Here is a 14,944-nt window from a genome sequence, read left to right as displayed (position 1 = left end):
AAGACTAGCCTGGCCAACATGGTGAAACCTCGTCTGTACTAAAAATACAAAAATTAGCTAGGCGTGGTGGTGCACACCTGTAATCCCAGGTATTTGGGAGGCTGAGGCAGAGGAATCCCTGGAACTCAGGAGGCAGAGGTTGCAGTGAGCCGAGATCATGCCACTGCACTCCAGCCTGGGCTGGAGTCAAGACTCAGTCTCAAAAACAAAAAAAAAAACAAAAAAACTGCCAAGAAAGGCTATGAAGAATACTCTGTAATTTGCAAATTATGAAACTGACTGAAAGAACAAGCAAAGAAGAATATTAAGGGTATTTTATTTTTCCCCAAAATTCATGATGGGATAAATATGGCAGGATGTTATTCTGTGTTAAATCTACACAGTGGGCCCTTAGGTGTCAGGCATCTTCTATGTATCTGAAATATTTCCATCATTTCAAAAAAGTCATTGTGAGTCACTTTTGTAAGAGCTGTGCTTTGATCTCGATAGTTCATCTGGGAAATAAGAGTTTCTTAAAGATTTTTTTTTTTTTTTTTAAGACAGAGTCTCACTCTGTGGCCCAGGCTGGAGTGCAGTGGTGGGATCTTGGCTCATTGCAACCTCCGCCTCCCGGGTTCAAGTGATTCTCCTGCCTCAGCCTCCTGAGTAGCTGGGACTACAGGCGCATACCACCACGCGAGGCTAATTTTTTTTTTTTTTTTTTTTTTTTTTTTTTTTTTTTTTTTTTTGAGACGGAGTCTCGCTCTGTCGCCCAGGCTGGAGTGCAGTGGCGGGATCTCGGCTCACTGCAAGCTCCGCCTCCCGGGTTCACGCCATTCTCCTGCCTCAGCCTCCCAAGTAGCTGGGACTACAGGCGCCCGCCACTACGCCCAGCTAATTTTTTTGTATTTTTAGTAGAGACGGGGTTTCACCGTTTTAGCCAGGATGGTCTCGATCTCCTGACCTCATGATCCGCCTGCCTCGGCCTCTCAAAGTGCTGGGATTACAGGTGTGAGCCATCGGGCCCAGCCGAAATTTTACTTCTTAAAAAAATTTGTGGGCTGGGCGCAGTGGGTCACACCTTTAATCCCTACACTTTGAGAGGCTGAAGTGGGTGGATCACTTGAGGCCAGGAGTTCCAGACCAGCCTGAAACTGGACATGGTGAAACCCCGTCTCTACTAAAAATACAAAAATTAGCCAGGCATGGTGGCATACGTCTGTAATCCCAGCTACTCAGGAGGCTGAGGCATGAGAATCGCTTGAACCCAGGAGATGGAGGTTGCAGTAAGTGGAGATTGCACCACTGCACTCCAGCCTGGGCTACAGAGGGAGACTCTGTCTGAAAAAAAAAAAGAAAAAGAAAAAGAAGCAAAAAATTGTGGCTCATGCCTGTAATCCTAGCACGTTGGGAGGCTTGAGGCCAGGAGTTCAAGACTAGCCTGGGCCACATGGCAAAACCCAGTCTCTACTAAAAATGCAAAAAAATTAGCCAGATGTGGTGGCACGTGCCTATAGTCTGAGCTACTCAGGTGGCTGAGGTGGGAGGATCGCTTGAGCCTGGGAGGTGGAGGTTGCAGCGAGCCAAGATCACACCACTGTACTCCAGCCTGCAGAACAGAATGAAACACTGTCTCAAAAATAAAATAAAATAAAATAAAATTTGTATACTACCAGTTTCCCAAAAGAGATTTCTTTGAAATTAAATTGTTTTGTAGGGTTTTGTTATTGTTTGTAACATTAAGTTCACAATACCTTTACTTATACTAACAAAAGTTTATGTAGAAACATTATCTTATTGCTAAGTACAAATCCTGTTTTTAAAAGAACTATTACTTTTAAGAATTTGGCAGGCATGAGGTGGGGCATGGTGGCTCATGCCTGTAATCCCAGCACTTTGCGAGGCCGAAGCGGACGGATCACCAGAGATCAGGAGTTTGAGACCAGTCTGTCCAACATGGTGAAACCCCATCTCTACTAAAAATACAAAAAAAAAAAAATTAGCTGGGTATGGTGGTGCGTGCCTGTAATCCCAGCTACTCGGGAGGCTGAGGTCGGAGAATCGTTTGAACCCGGAAGGCAGAAGTTGCAGTGAGCTGCGATCGCACCACTGCACTCCAGCCTGGGTGACAGAGTGAGACTCTGTCTCAAAAAAAAAAAAAAAAAAAAAAGGATTTGGCAGGCATGGTAGCTCATGCCTGTAATCCTAGCACTTTGGTTTGGGAGGACGAGGTGGGTGGATCGCTTGAACTCAGGAATTTGACCAGCCTGGGCAACGTGGCAAAACCCGTCTCTACAAAAAATACAAAAATTAGTCAGGTGTTGTGCTGTGCACCTATAGTCCCAGCTACTTAGGAGACTGAAGCAGGAGGATCACTTGAACCTTGGGAAGTCGAGGCTACAGTGAGCTGAGAGTGGGCCACTGTGTTCCAGTGTGGATGACAAAGTAAGACCCTGTCTAAAAAAAGAAAAAGAAAAAAAAAAGTCGAGGCCAGGAGCAATGGCTCACGCCTGTAATCCCAGCACTTTGGGAGGCCAAGGCGGGCAGATTACAAGGTCTGGAGTTCGAGACCAGCCTGGCCAACATAGTGAAAACCTGTCTCTACTAAAAATACAAAAAATAAGCCGGGTATGGTGACACACGCCTGTAGTCCCACCTACTCGGGAGGCTGAGGCAAGAGAATCACTTGAACCCAGGAGGCAGAGGTTGCAGTGAGCCGAGATCCACCACTGCATTCCAGCCTGGGCAACAGAACGAGACTCCGTCCTCCCCGCCCCCCCAAAAATAAATAAATAAATAAATGTAAATATATAAATAAATATATGTGTGTGTATATATATATATATATATATATATATATATATATATATACACACGATCATAGGCACAACCTACTACTGAATTAATGGTGGCTCAGCGTTTTGGTTATATATTTGCATGCCACACATACGTATCACGATATGTTTGTGTGTATGTAATTACGGAGAGATTAGGCAAAGTTGAACAAGCATCATTTGAAAATAAACTTTGTTTTCATGCATACATAAAATTAGAGAACTTGTTTTACCTCACCCTTAAGTTTTAAATAGTTTATTTATTTTATTTATTTTTTTCAGACGGAGTCTTGCTCTGTCGCCCAGGCTGAAGGGCAGTGGTGGGATCTCGGCTCACTGCAACCTCCGCCTCCCAGGTTCAAGTGATTCTCGTGCCTCAGCCTTCCAAGTAGCTGGGATTACAGGTGCCCAAAACCATGCCTGGCTAAGTTTTTTGTATTTTTAGTAGAGATGGGGTTTCCTCATGTTGGCCAGGCTGGTCTCGAACTCCTGACCTCAAATGATCCGCCTGCCTCAGCCTCCCAAAGTACTGTGATTACAGGCGTGAGCCACTGCACCTGGCCCAGTCTTGGGTACTTTAAAGAAACTCCTAGATGGCATATTTCATCCATAGATACTACATTCTAGTCCTAGTTGATAAAGACTTTTTATCACACCAACAAAGTTAGTACTTCTTTTTTTTTGAGATGCAGTCTCGCTCTGTCGCCCAGGCTGGAGTGCAGTGGCACATCTCGGCTCACTGCAAGCTCCGCCTCCCGGGTTCACGCCATTCTTCTGCATCAGCCTCCCGAGTAGCTGGGACTACAGGCGCCCCCCCAGCAAGCCCGGCTAATTTTTTCTATTTTTTTTAGTAGAGATGGGGTTTCACCGTGCTAGCCAGGGTTGTCTTGATCTCCTGACCTCGTGATCTGCCCGCCTCGGCCTCCCAAAGTGCTGGGATTACAGGCGTGAGCCACCGTCCCTGGCTAGTAATTCTTAAATATCATCTAACAGTCTATGTTCAAATTTTCCTGTCTCAAAAACATCTTTTTATCTCTGATCAATGGTGTCCAGCAAAAAAAAAAAAAAAAAACCAAAAACATATTTTTTATGGTTTGTCAATTTGAAGCACATCCAAAGCCTGCACGTAGCAGAAGCAGATTATCACTTTTTTTCTTTCTTTCCTTCTTTTTTTTTTTTTTTTTTTTTTTTGGAGGGAGGGTCTCTCTCTGTTGCCCAGGCTAGGGGGCAGTGGTGCCATCATAGCTCACTGCAGTCTTTAACTCCTTTAACTCCTGGGCTCAAGCAATCCTCCCACCACAGCCTTCTGAGTACTTAGGACTACAGGCCCATGCCAAGACACCTGGCCAATTCTTAAATTTCTTGTAGAGACGGAGGTCTCACTATGTTACCCAGGCTGGTCTCCAACTCCCGGGCTCAAGTGATCCTCCCGCCTCAGCCTCCCAAAATGCTGGGATTACAGGTGTGAGTCACCATGCTCAGCCTGGCCCACTTTTATAACTAAAGGCTTAAAACTCACCAGCAACAGCCACGCTTTTAGAGTATATAGTAGTGCGTGCTGTGGTGGTATTTAGTAACTAACCCATCAAAAAAACTAATATATGCACATATATACATACTTTTTTTTTTTTTTTGAGTTGGAGTCTCAGTCTGTCGCCAGGCTGGAGTGCAGGGCGCGATCTCGGCTCACTGCAACCTCTGCCTCCCAGGGTCAGCGACCTCCCTGCCTCAGCCTCCTGAGTAGCTGGGACTACGGGTGCGCACCACCACGCCCAGCTAATTTTTGTATTTTTAGTAGAGACGGGGTTTCACCATGTTGGCCGGGATGGTCTGGATCTTTTGACCTTGTGCCCTATCCGCCTCGGCCTCCCAAATTGCTGGGATTACAGGCGTGAGCCACCGTGCCCGGCCCATACACATACATTTATTGTACATTTTACTGATTCAAAGAATGTTGTGTTGGAGATCCCCCAAACCACCTTCAAGTTGAGTGATTTTTTTTTTTTTTTTTTTTTTGAGACAGAGTCTCTCTCTGTCACCCAGGCTGGAGTGCAACTGCAATCTCGGCTCACTGCAACCTCTACCTCCTGGGTTCAAGGGATTTTCCTGCCTCAGCCTCCCAAGTACCTGGGATTACAGGTGCATGGCAGCACGCCTGGCTAATTTTTATATTTTTAGTATCACCATGTTGCTCAGGCTGGTCTCAAACTCCCGACTTCAAGTGATCTACCTGCCTCGGCCTCCCAAAATGCTGGGATCACAGAAGTGAGCTACTGAGCCCGGCCATGTTCTATGATTTGCTAGAAGCACTCAGGCTCAGAAAGGCTGTCATACTTATGGTTGTAGCTTATTACAGTGAATGGATATGGATTCAAATCAGCAAAGGAAAAGGTGCATAGGGCAGTGTCTGGGAGACGCCAGGCATAAGCTTCCTTTCACAGTGGAGTCATATATATATCCTTAATTTGCCCAGCAACAATGTGTGACAACATGCATAAAGTATGTCCAACTAGGGAAGCTTCCCTGAGCCTGGGTGTCCAAGGGATTTTATTAGGCTCGGTCATGTAGGCATGGAGCATCCGTGTGACTCACCTTACCTACTCAGTCTCCAGCCACCCACCCAGAGGTTAACCTAATACAGCATGGCGCAAGGCTGCCACCACCAACCCACTGTTAGCATAAACTACTAGATGTTGCCCAAGGCCTGAGATATACAAATACACTCCTATCAAGTAGAATATTCCAAGGGCTCAGAAGTTATGTTTTAGGAGCTGGTCAAGAGCCAATCCTTTCTTTAGAATGTGCATACCCCAGACCTGTTGTGATAACACTGTGCTGCATAGATGTGTAGCAGATAATTTATTACACAAATAATAATGATGACATATAATACTCTTTACTATAATTCCAGATTTCCAGATAGCCTGTCACAGATGCTTTTTTTTTTTTTTTTTTTGGAGACAGTCTTGCACTGTCGCCCAGGCTGGAGTGCAGTGGCACGATCTCAGCTCACTGCAACCTCTGACTCCCAGGCTCAAGTGATTCTCCTGCCTCAGCCCCCCGAGTAGCTGGGACTACAGGTGCCTGTGCCACCATGCCCGGCTAATTTTTGTATTTTAGTAGAGATAGGGTTTCACCATGTTGGCTAGGCTGGTTTCGAACACCTGACCTCAAGTGATCTGTCCACCTCCCAGAGTGCTGGGATTACAGGTGTGAGCCACCGCACCTGGTCAATGCCCAGAATTTTCATCAGCCCAGTGAAATACCCTTGTCTAAAAATGTATTTGTTCACAGACCTTGCAAGCTTGTATTTTAATTTTATTATTATTAGTTTCATTTATTCTGAAACTTTTGGTACAGATCTTGCAATGTTTTTACTTTTTCTTTTAAGAGACAGGGTCTCGCTATGTTGCCCAGGCTGGTCTCAGCCTCAAGCCAGCTTGCCACCTGGCTGATGTTGCAATGTTAACATTAATTTCCTGGTACTGTTCTCTGACTTCCATCTTCTCCTTCCCAAGCCCTGCCATACCGCTCCAGCCCCACCCCTGCCTCTCATTCCTTCTACTTACTCTTTTTTTTTTTTTTTTTTGAGACAAAGTCTTACTCTGTCGCCCAGGCTGGAGTGCAGTGGCGTGATCTCAGCTCACTGCAACCTCTGCCTCCCAGGTTCAAGTGATTCTCCTGCCCCAGCCTCCTGAGCAGCTGGGATTACAGGCACGTGCCACCACGCCCACCTAATTTTTGTATTTTCAGTAGAGATAGAGTTTCACCATGTTGGCCAGGCTGTTCTCGAACTCCTGACCTCAAGTGATCCGCCTGCCTCGGCCTCCCAAAAGTGCTGGAATTACAGGCGTCAGCCACCGTGCCTGGCCCCACTTACTCTACACATAATCAGTTATTCATTCATTGAGAATTTAAGAATGCCTAGAATGTGCTCTATTACATTCATAGGAGTGAATAAGATGGACAAGGTGCCTCTGCTCGTGAAACTTACACTTTTAAGGGAGGAGGTAAGAGATAATAAACATGATGTAATGTCAGGGGCTCATTATGTGCCATGAAGGAAACTAAAGCAGCGTAAGGAACAGAGCCTGACAGTTTTGCTGTTTTAGCTAAGGTGGTCAGGGAAGGCCTCTTTGATGCAGTGACACTTGAGCTGAGGCCTGAATGAAGTGAGAGATAGAAATGAGGCAGGAGCGGGGCACCATGGCTCACACCTGTAATCCCAGCACCTTGGGAGGCCGAGGTGGGCGGATCACTTGAGGTCTGGGGTTCAAGACCAGCCTGGGCAACATGGCGAAACCCTGTCTCTACTAAAAATACAAAAATCGGGCCGGCCACGGTGGTTTATGCCTGTAATCCCAGCACTTTGGGAGCCCGAGGCAGGTGGATCACGAGGTCAAGAGATCGAAACCGTCTTGGCCAACATGGTGAAATCCGTCTCTGCTAAAAATACAAAAATTAGCCGGGCGTGGTGGCCCATGCCTGTAGTCCCAGCTACTAGGGAGGCTGAGGCAGAAGAATCGCTTGAACCCAGGAGGCGGGGGTTGCAGTGAGCCGAGATCGCGCCCTACACTCCAGCCTGGCGACAGAGCGAGACTCCGTCTCAAAAAAAACAAAAAAAACAAAAACAAAAAAAGAGGCAGGAGAGGCTGGGTGCGGTGGCTCACGCCTGTAATCCCAGTACTTTGGGAAGCTGAGGTGGGCGGATCACTTGAGGTCAGGAGTTCGAGACCAGCCAAGGCCAACATGGCAAAACCCTGTCTCTACTAAAAATACAAAAATTAGCTGTGCATGGTGGCATATGCCTATAATCCCAGCTACTCAGAATGCTGAGGCAGGAGAATCGCTTGAACTCAGAAGGCTGAGGTTGCAGAACTCAGATCGCGCCATGGCATTCCCACCTAGGCCACAGAACAAGACTCCATCTCAAAAAAAAAAAAAAAGGAAATGAGGCAGGAGAATCAGGAATGAGGGTAATCAATGGTTAACAAGGGTTAAGGCATAAGCAAAAGATCAGCAGGTGCAGCCAGTTCTGGGCAAGATAAGGCAGCATAGAGGCCACATCTGCACTTCTGTGATAACAAGACAGAAGTTTCCACTTCAGCCATGAGTGTTAACCACATTCTTTCTGCTTAATGAAGACCCTAATTGAGGGGTCTCTTGAGCTGTGTGGTCTCTTGAACTTCGTGTCAATCAATCTGTGCTTTTTACGCCATTTGTTTGTCTTTTGTTGATTTGTTTTTTGTTGTTGTCGTTGTTGCTTTGTGGGGTTTTTGTTGCAATTTTTATTTATTTATTATTTTTGAGATGGAGTTTTGCTCTTGTTGCCCAGGCTGGAGTGCAGTGGTGTGATTTTGGGTCACTGCAACCTCCATCTCCCGGGTTCAAGCAATTCTCCTGCCTCAGCCTCCCGAGTAGCTGGGATTACAGGCATGTGCCACCACATCCAGCTAATTTTTAGGAGAGACGGGGTTTCGCCATGTTGGCCAGGCTGGTCTTGAACTCCTGACTTCAAGTGATCCTCCTGCCTCAGCCTCCCAAAGTGTTGGGATTACAGGCATGAGCCACCGTGCCTGGCCTAGTTTTTGTATTTTCAGTAGAGACAGGGTTTCGCCATGTTGGCCAGGCTGGTCTTGAACCCCTGACCTCAGGTGATCCACCCGCCTCGGCCTCCCCAAAGTGCTGAGATTATAGGGGTGAGTCACCGTGCCCGGCCTTGTGTTGCAATTCTCGGTTCAACGCGCAAGCCCCTGACCAACTCACAGCCAAGACTTTCCATCCAGTAACAGAAAACCTGCAGGAGGACTCTTCCTGGCAGAGGAAACACAGAATGTAGAACCCCTGGAGCAAAAATGACCCTGATGTCTTTTCAGAGGGGGAAAAGGCGGCAGGCAGTGGGGTGGGTGATAGAGGCAAATAGTAACCAGGGAGACAGATAAATGAGCCCTTACAAACTTTTGATGTGTGACTACCAGGGAAAGGCCTTTGCCAGGGGCTGGAGTGTAATTTTTTTTTTTTTTTTGAGACGGAGTCTTGCTCTGTTGCCAGGCTAGAGTGCAGGGCGCGATCTTGGCTCACTGCAACCTCCGCCTCCCAGGTTCAAGCGATTCCCCTGCCTCAGCCTCCGGAGTAGCTGGAATTACAGGCATGTGCCACCACATCCAGCTAATTTTTAGGAGAGACGGGGTTTCGCCATGTTGGCCAGGCTGGTCTTGAACTCCTGACTTCAGGTGATCCTCCTGCCTCAGCCTCCCAAAGTGTTGGGATTACAGGCATGAGCCACCGTGCCTGGCCTAGTTTTTGTATTTTCAGTAGAGACAGGGTTTCGCCGTGTTGGCCAGGCTGGTCTTGAACCCCTGACCTCAGGTGATCCACCCGCCTCGGCCTCCCCAAAGTGCTGAGATTACAGGCGTGAGTCACCGTGCCCGGCCTTGTGTTGCAATTCTCGGTTCAACACGCAAGCCCCTGACCAACTCACAGCCAAGACTTTCCATCCAGTAACAGAAAACCTGCAGGGGGGCTATTCCTGGCAGAGGAAACACAGAATGTAGAACCCCTGGAGCAAAAATGACCCTGATGTCTTTTCAGAGGGGGAAAAGGCGGCAGGCAGTGGGGTGGGTGATAGAGGCAAATAGTAACCAGGGAGACAGATAAATGAGCCCTTACAAACTTTTGATGTGTGACTACCAGGGAAAGGCCTTTGCCAGGGGCTGGAGTGTAATTTTTTTTTTTTTTTTGAGACGGAGTCTTGCTCTGTTGCCAGGCTAGAGTGCAGGGCGCGATCTTGGCTCACTGCAACCTCTGCCTCCCAGGTTCAAGCGATTCCCCTGCCTCAGCCTCCCAAGTAGCCAGGACTACAGGTGCGTGCCACCACACTTGGCTAACTTTTTTTTTAAATTTTAGTAGAGACGAGGTTTCACCATGTTGGCTAAGATGGTCTCGATCTCCTCCTGACCTCGTGATTCGCCCACCTTAGCCTCCCAAAGTGTTGGGATTACAGGCGTGAGGCACCGCGCCTGGCCTGCAATGTAATTTTATGCACAAAGTGCAGCCTTGCAAAGTCCCAGGCAGGGTGCAGGCTTTATCTGAAGGTTCACAAAGTCACCCTGGCTGCTGAAGAGGGCACAGCAGAATGAGAAAGCACAGTGGGGTGATGAGCCCAGGCAGGAGATGAAGGTGGCTCAGACCAGGGTGGGGCAGTGGGGGTACTGAAAAGCGCTCAGACTCCACCCCGCCAGCTGCAGGGTGGTTTCAGACCCTGAACTCGAGGGGTTCCTAACACGGGCTCCTTACAGCAAGGGGCACAGATGGAAGCAATGTTGTCCCATGCTTGCAAGTCTCACAGAACGGGATATGAGTCCCACACCTGCCATTGACAGCCTGGGTCTCTAGGCTAGCTAATTCCTCCAGGCCTGAAGCGTCCCTCCTTATAAAATGAAAATTTCGGTCAGGTGTAGTGGCTCACGCCTGTAATACCAGCACTTTGGGAGGCTGCGGCGGGAGGATGGTTTGAGGCCAGGAGTTCAAGACCGGCCTGGGCAACAGAGTGAGACTCCGGTCTCTACAAAAAATAGGAAAATTTATGGAGAAACCCCATCTCTACTAAAAATACAAAATTAGCTGGGCATGGTGACACATGCCTGTAATCCCAGCTACTCAGGAGGCTGAGGCAGGAGAATCGCTTGAACCCAGGAGATGGAGGTTGTGGTGAACCAAGATCGCGCCATTGCACTCCAGCCTGGGGCAACAAGAGCAAAACTATGTCTCTAAATAAATAAATAAATAAATAAATAAATAAATAAAAATAAATTAGCCGGGAGTGTGGCACGTGCCTTTGGTCTCAGCTACTCAGGAGGTTGAGGTGGGAGAGTCGCTGGAATCCAGGAATTCAAGGCGGCATTCAGGAGTTCAAGGCTGCAGTGAGTCATGATTGCGCCACTGCACTCCACCCTGAACGACAGAGCCATACGCTGCCTTAAACAAACAGACAAACAGGGCCGGGCGCAGTGGTTCACGCCTGTAATCCTAGCACTTTGAGAGGCCCAGGCGGGCGGATCACTTGAGGTCAGGGGTTCGAGACCAGCCTGGCCAACATGGTGAAACTTCGTCTCTACTAAAAATACAAAAATTAGCCGTGGTGGCGCGCTCCTGTAATCACAGCTACACCGGAGCCTGAGACAGGTGAATCGCTTGAGCCCGGGAGGCGGAGGATGCAGTGAGCCGAGATCACACCCACTGCACTCCAGCCTGGGAACAGAGCGAGACTCCGTCACCAAAAAAAAAAAAAAAAAAAAAAAAAAAAAAAAAAAAAAAAGGAAAAGGAAATATCACCAGAACGGATATCACTGCACTCTTCACGAAAAAGAAAAAGAAAATACCAGAACGGATTTCACCGACCGGCAGACCTGCAATCGACTCAGCCAGCGCCTTCCGGATCAGCGTTTCTGCGCAGGCGCAGACAGCTCCGGCGGAAGAGGCGGTGTAGGGCTCAGTGCGCTTGCGCCGATCTCGGCCTCAGCGTGAGCATGCGCAGGTCCCCGCCCTCGCTGCGTTTGCGCTTGAGCGCCGATAATTTGGTGGCGGCGTCCGGAGGGTGCTGGTTTGTTCTCGGTGAACGGCGCGCGGGGTCTCTCCTGAGTGCGAGCTACGGGACCTTCGCCATGCCGGGGATGGTACTCTTCGGCCGGCGCTGGGCCATCGCCAGCGACGACTTGGTCTTCCCAGGGTTCTTCGAGCTGGTCGTGCGAGTGCTGTGGTAAGGACGGCGGCTACGGGGGCGGTGGAGCCCACCGGAGAGGGAGCGGGGGGCGAGCTGTCCCTTGAGACGGTGACAGAAGTGGCTTCCCAAGCACTGTCGCGGTCCCAGCGCTGGCCACGCATCCTCTTATCGAGTTCTCACCACTGCCCGAAGAGGTGGGCAGTGGTGCTGTGTCCATTTGACGGATGACAAACCGAAGCCCCCAGAGTGTGTGGGCTGACCCCGGGGGACAAACAGGGGGTTTCGAAGTCCGCGCAGCAGGACGCGAGCACCCCTTTGTGTGCAGCGCCGAGACCTGGCCCTGGGGTGCCACGAGGGTGTTACCGCCGGCAAAAGCCTTGGCCTCGAGTTCTCCTTTCTTGAGGCGGGAGCAGCCACTTGTGCCCTTCCTTCCCTTTGTACGGGGCACTTGAATCTGCAACACGAAGGATAGGAAAAAATACCGAGCCGGTTGTGGCTGCATTTCGTGAGAAGCAGACAGGCTCAACATACAACGCTGTTGTCTTTCAAAGTGTGGAATCAGTGGGAAGTGGCATTGGTACCTGAAGTCTGTTCCCAGAGGATCTGTGCAGGGAATGAATCATTGTTATGCAAAAGTAGATTCTTGGCTGGGCGCCATGGCTCACGCCTGTTATCTCAGCACATTGAGAGGCTGAGACGGGAGGATTGCTTGAGGGCAGGAGTTTGAGACCAACCTGGGCAACATAGTGAGACCCCTTTTCTTTTTATTTTTTTGAGACAGGGTCTCACTCTGCTACCCAGGCGGGAGTGCAGTGGTGCGATCACCACTCACTGCAGCCTCAACCTCCTGGGCTCAAGCGATCTTCCCACTTCACTCTTCCAAGTAGCTGGGACCACAGACTCGTGCCACCACGCCCAGCTAACTTTTTCTATTTTTTGTAGAGATGGAGTCTCACCGTGTTGCCCAGGCTAGTGTCCAACTCTTGTGCTCAAGTGATCCTCCTGCCTTGGCCTCCCAAAGTGCTAGGATTACAGACGTGAGCCGCCGTGCCGGGCCTAGATCTTTTATTGTTGGCAATTATATTCCAGGCCAGGTGCAGTGATTCATGCCTGTAATCCCAGCACTTTGGGAGGCCAAGGCAGGAAGATCACTTGAAGCCAGGAGTTCAAGACCAGTCTGGGCAACATAGCAAGACCCTGTCTCTACAAAAAGAAAATTATATTCCAAAGTGAACCTTGCCTTGTTTTGGAAAATATTAACTCCTTTTATTTCTTTTTTTTTTTTTTTTTTTTTTTTTTTTTTTTTGAGACGGAGTCTCATATCGTTGCCCAGGCTGGAGTGCAGTGACACGATCTCGGCTCACTGCCACCTCCACGTCCCAGGTTCAAGCAATTCTCCTGTCTCAGCCTCTCGAGTAGCTGGGACTACAGGTGCGCACCACTACGCCCAGCTATTTTTTTTTTTTTTTTTGTATTTTTCGTAGAGACAGGGTTTCACCATGTTGATCAGGATGGTCTCGATCTCCTGACCTTGTGATCCGCCCACCTCACCCTCCCAAAGTGCTGTGATTACAGGTGTGAGCCACCGCGCCCTGTCCCCTTTTATTTCTTTGTATCATGTTCTACACAGCAGCTCCTTGGATTTCATTTCTGACCCTTCCCTTTTTTTTTTTTGCCAGGTGGATTGGCATTCTGACGTTGTATCTCATGCACAGAGGAAAGCTGGACTGTGCTGGTGGAGCCTTGCTCAGCAGTTACTTGATCGTCCTCATGATTCTCCTGGCAGTTGTCATATGTACTGTGTCAGCCATCATGTGTGTCAGCATGAGAGGTAAAAAGTAGCCTTTTCTATTTGATACCTATTTTTTTATAGCTTTATTGAGATATAATTCACATACCATACAATTCACTTCTGTAAACTTTCCAATTCAACAGTTTTTAATATAATCACAGAGTTGTGCAGCCATCACCATCATCAAGTTTATACCATTTTCTTCACTCCTGAAAGAAATCCTGTACCAGGCGGGACACAGTGGCTCACACCTGTAATCCCAGCACTTTGGGAAGCCGAGGTGGGTGGATCACTTGAGGCCAGGAGCATGAGACTAGCCTGGCCAACACAGTGGAACCCCATCTCTACGTCTCTACTAAAAATAGAGAAAATTATGTTGGTGCATGCTTGTAATCCCAGCTGCTAGGGAGCTGAGATCATGCCACCGTACTCCAGCCTGAGTGACAGAGTGGAGACTCTGTCACAAAACGGAAAGAAAGAGATCCCATACCCATTAGCAGTCACTCCTCATTTTCCCCAAACTCTCCCAACCCTAAGCATTCACTAATTTGCTTTCTGTCTGTGTACATTTGCCTATTGTGGACATCATATAAGTGGAATTTATTCACTGTGTGGCCTTTTGGTCTGGTTTCTTAAGCTTAGCATAATGTCTTCAAGATTCATCGATGTTTTAGCATGTATCAGTACTTCATTTTGATGGCTGAATAAGAGCATCGAATGAATGGACCACATTTTATTTATCCCTTTGCCATTTGGTAGGCATTTGGATTGTTTCCATTTTTCACCTATTACGAATAGTGCAGCTATGAACATTCGCATACAAGTGTTTATACAGACATGTTTTCATTTCTCTTGAGTGTGTACCTAGGAGTGAATTGCTGGATCATGTGTTAATGCTCTGTGAAACCTTTTGAGGAACTGCCAGACTTTTCCAAGCAGCTGTACCATTTTACATTCCCACCAGCAGTGTATAAGGGTTCTAATTGCCCAACGCTCTTATTATATGACTTGTTAATTATAGCCATCCTAGTGAATGTGAAGTGGTAGCTCATGATTTTGTTTTGTTGTGTTTTGTTTTGTTTTTTTGAGACGGAGTCACACTCTGTCACCCAGGCTGGAGTGCCATGGCGCAATCTCGGCTCACTGTAACCTCTGCCTCCCGGGTTCAAGTGATTCTCCTGCCTCAGCCTCCCGAATAGCTGGGGCCACAGGCCATTTGTTTTTTGTCTCATGGCTTTGAGGAACATTTCTTTGGTGACTAATGATGTTGAGCATCCTTTCATTTGCTTATTGCTCATTTGTGTATCATTTTTGCGGAAATGTCTGTTCAGATCTTTTGCCCAATTTTAGACTAGGCTATTGATCCTTTTATTTTTTATTTTTATTTTTTGAGATAGAGTCTCCCTCCGCTGCGCAGGCTGGAGTGCAGTGGCGTGCTCTCTGCTCACTGCAGCCTCCGTCTCCTGGGTTCAAGTGATTCTTGTGCCTCAGCCTCCCATGTAGCTGGGATTACAGGCACCCGCTACCACGCCTGGCTAATTTTTGTATTTTTAGTAGAGATGCGGTTTTACCATGTTGGTCAGGCTTGTCTCGATCTCCTGACCTCACGTGATCCAC

General features: G+C 48.2%; 1 protein-coding gene across 2 annotated transcripts in view, besides 1 other annotated feature; it reads left to right on the top strand.

Moving 5' to 3' along the window:
• Positions 11,108 to 11,157: an enhancer, noted in NCBI's record as "active region_25624". NCBI's record gives its function as "activates an Ori minimal core promoter by ATAC-STARR-seq in GM12878 lymphoblastoid cells {active_cell/tissue: GM12878}" and the evidence as "EXISTENCE:reporter gene assay evidence [ECO:0000049][PMID:35858748]".
• Positions 11,365 to 14,944, top strand: part of DAGLB (diacylglycerol lipase beta) — a 38,826-nt gene continuing 35,246 nt past the window's right edge. For both annotated transcript variants that reach the window (NM_001142936.2, NM_139179.4), the window contains exons 1-2: positions 11,365 to 11,571; positions 13,215 to 13,366. In NM_001142936.2, the coding sequence (NP_001136408.1) occupies positions 11,477 to 11,571; positions 13,215 to 13,366 (247 nt within the window). In that variant the 5' untranslated portion in view covers positions 11,365 to 11,476. The remainder of the gene's footprint in view (positions 11,572 to 13,214; positions 13,367 to 14,944) is intronic.

The sequence above is a fragment of the Homo sapiens genome, chromosome 7, assembly GCF_000001405.40.
Source record: "Homo sapiens chromosome 7, GRCh38.p14 Primary Assembly".
Lineage (NCBI taxonomy): Eukaryota > Metazoa > Chordata > Mammalia > Primates > Hominidae > Homo > Homo sapiens.
The sequence above is the reverse complement of the archived record's forward strand: the minus strand, read 5'-3'. Positions and strand labels throughout refer to the sequence as shown.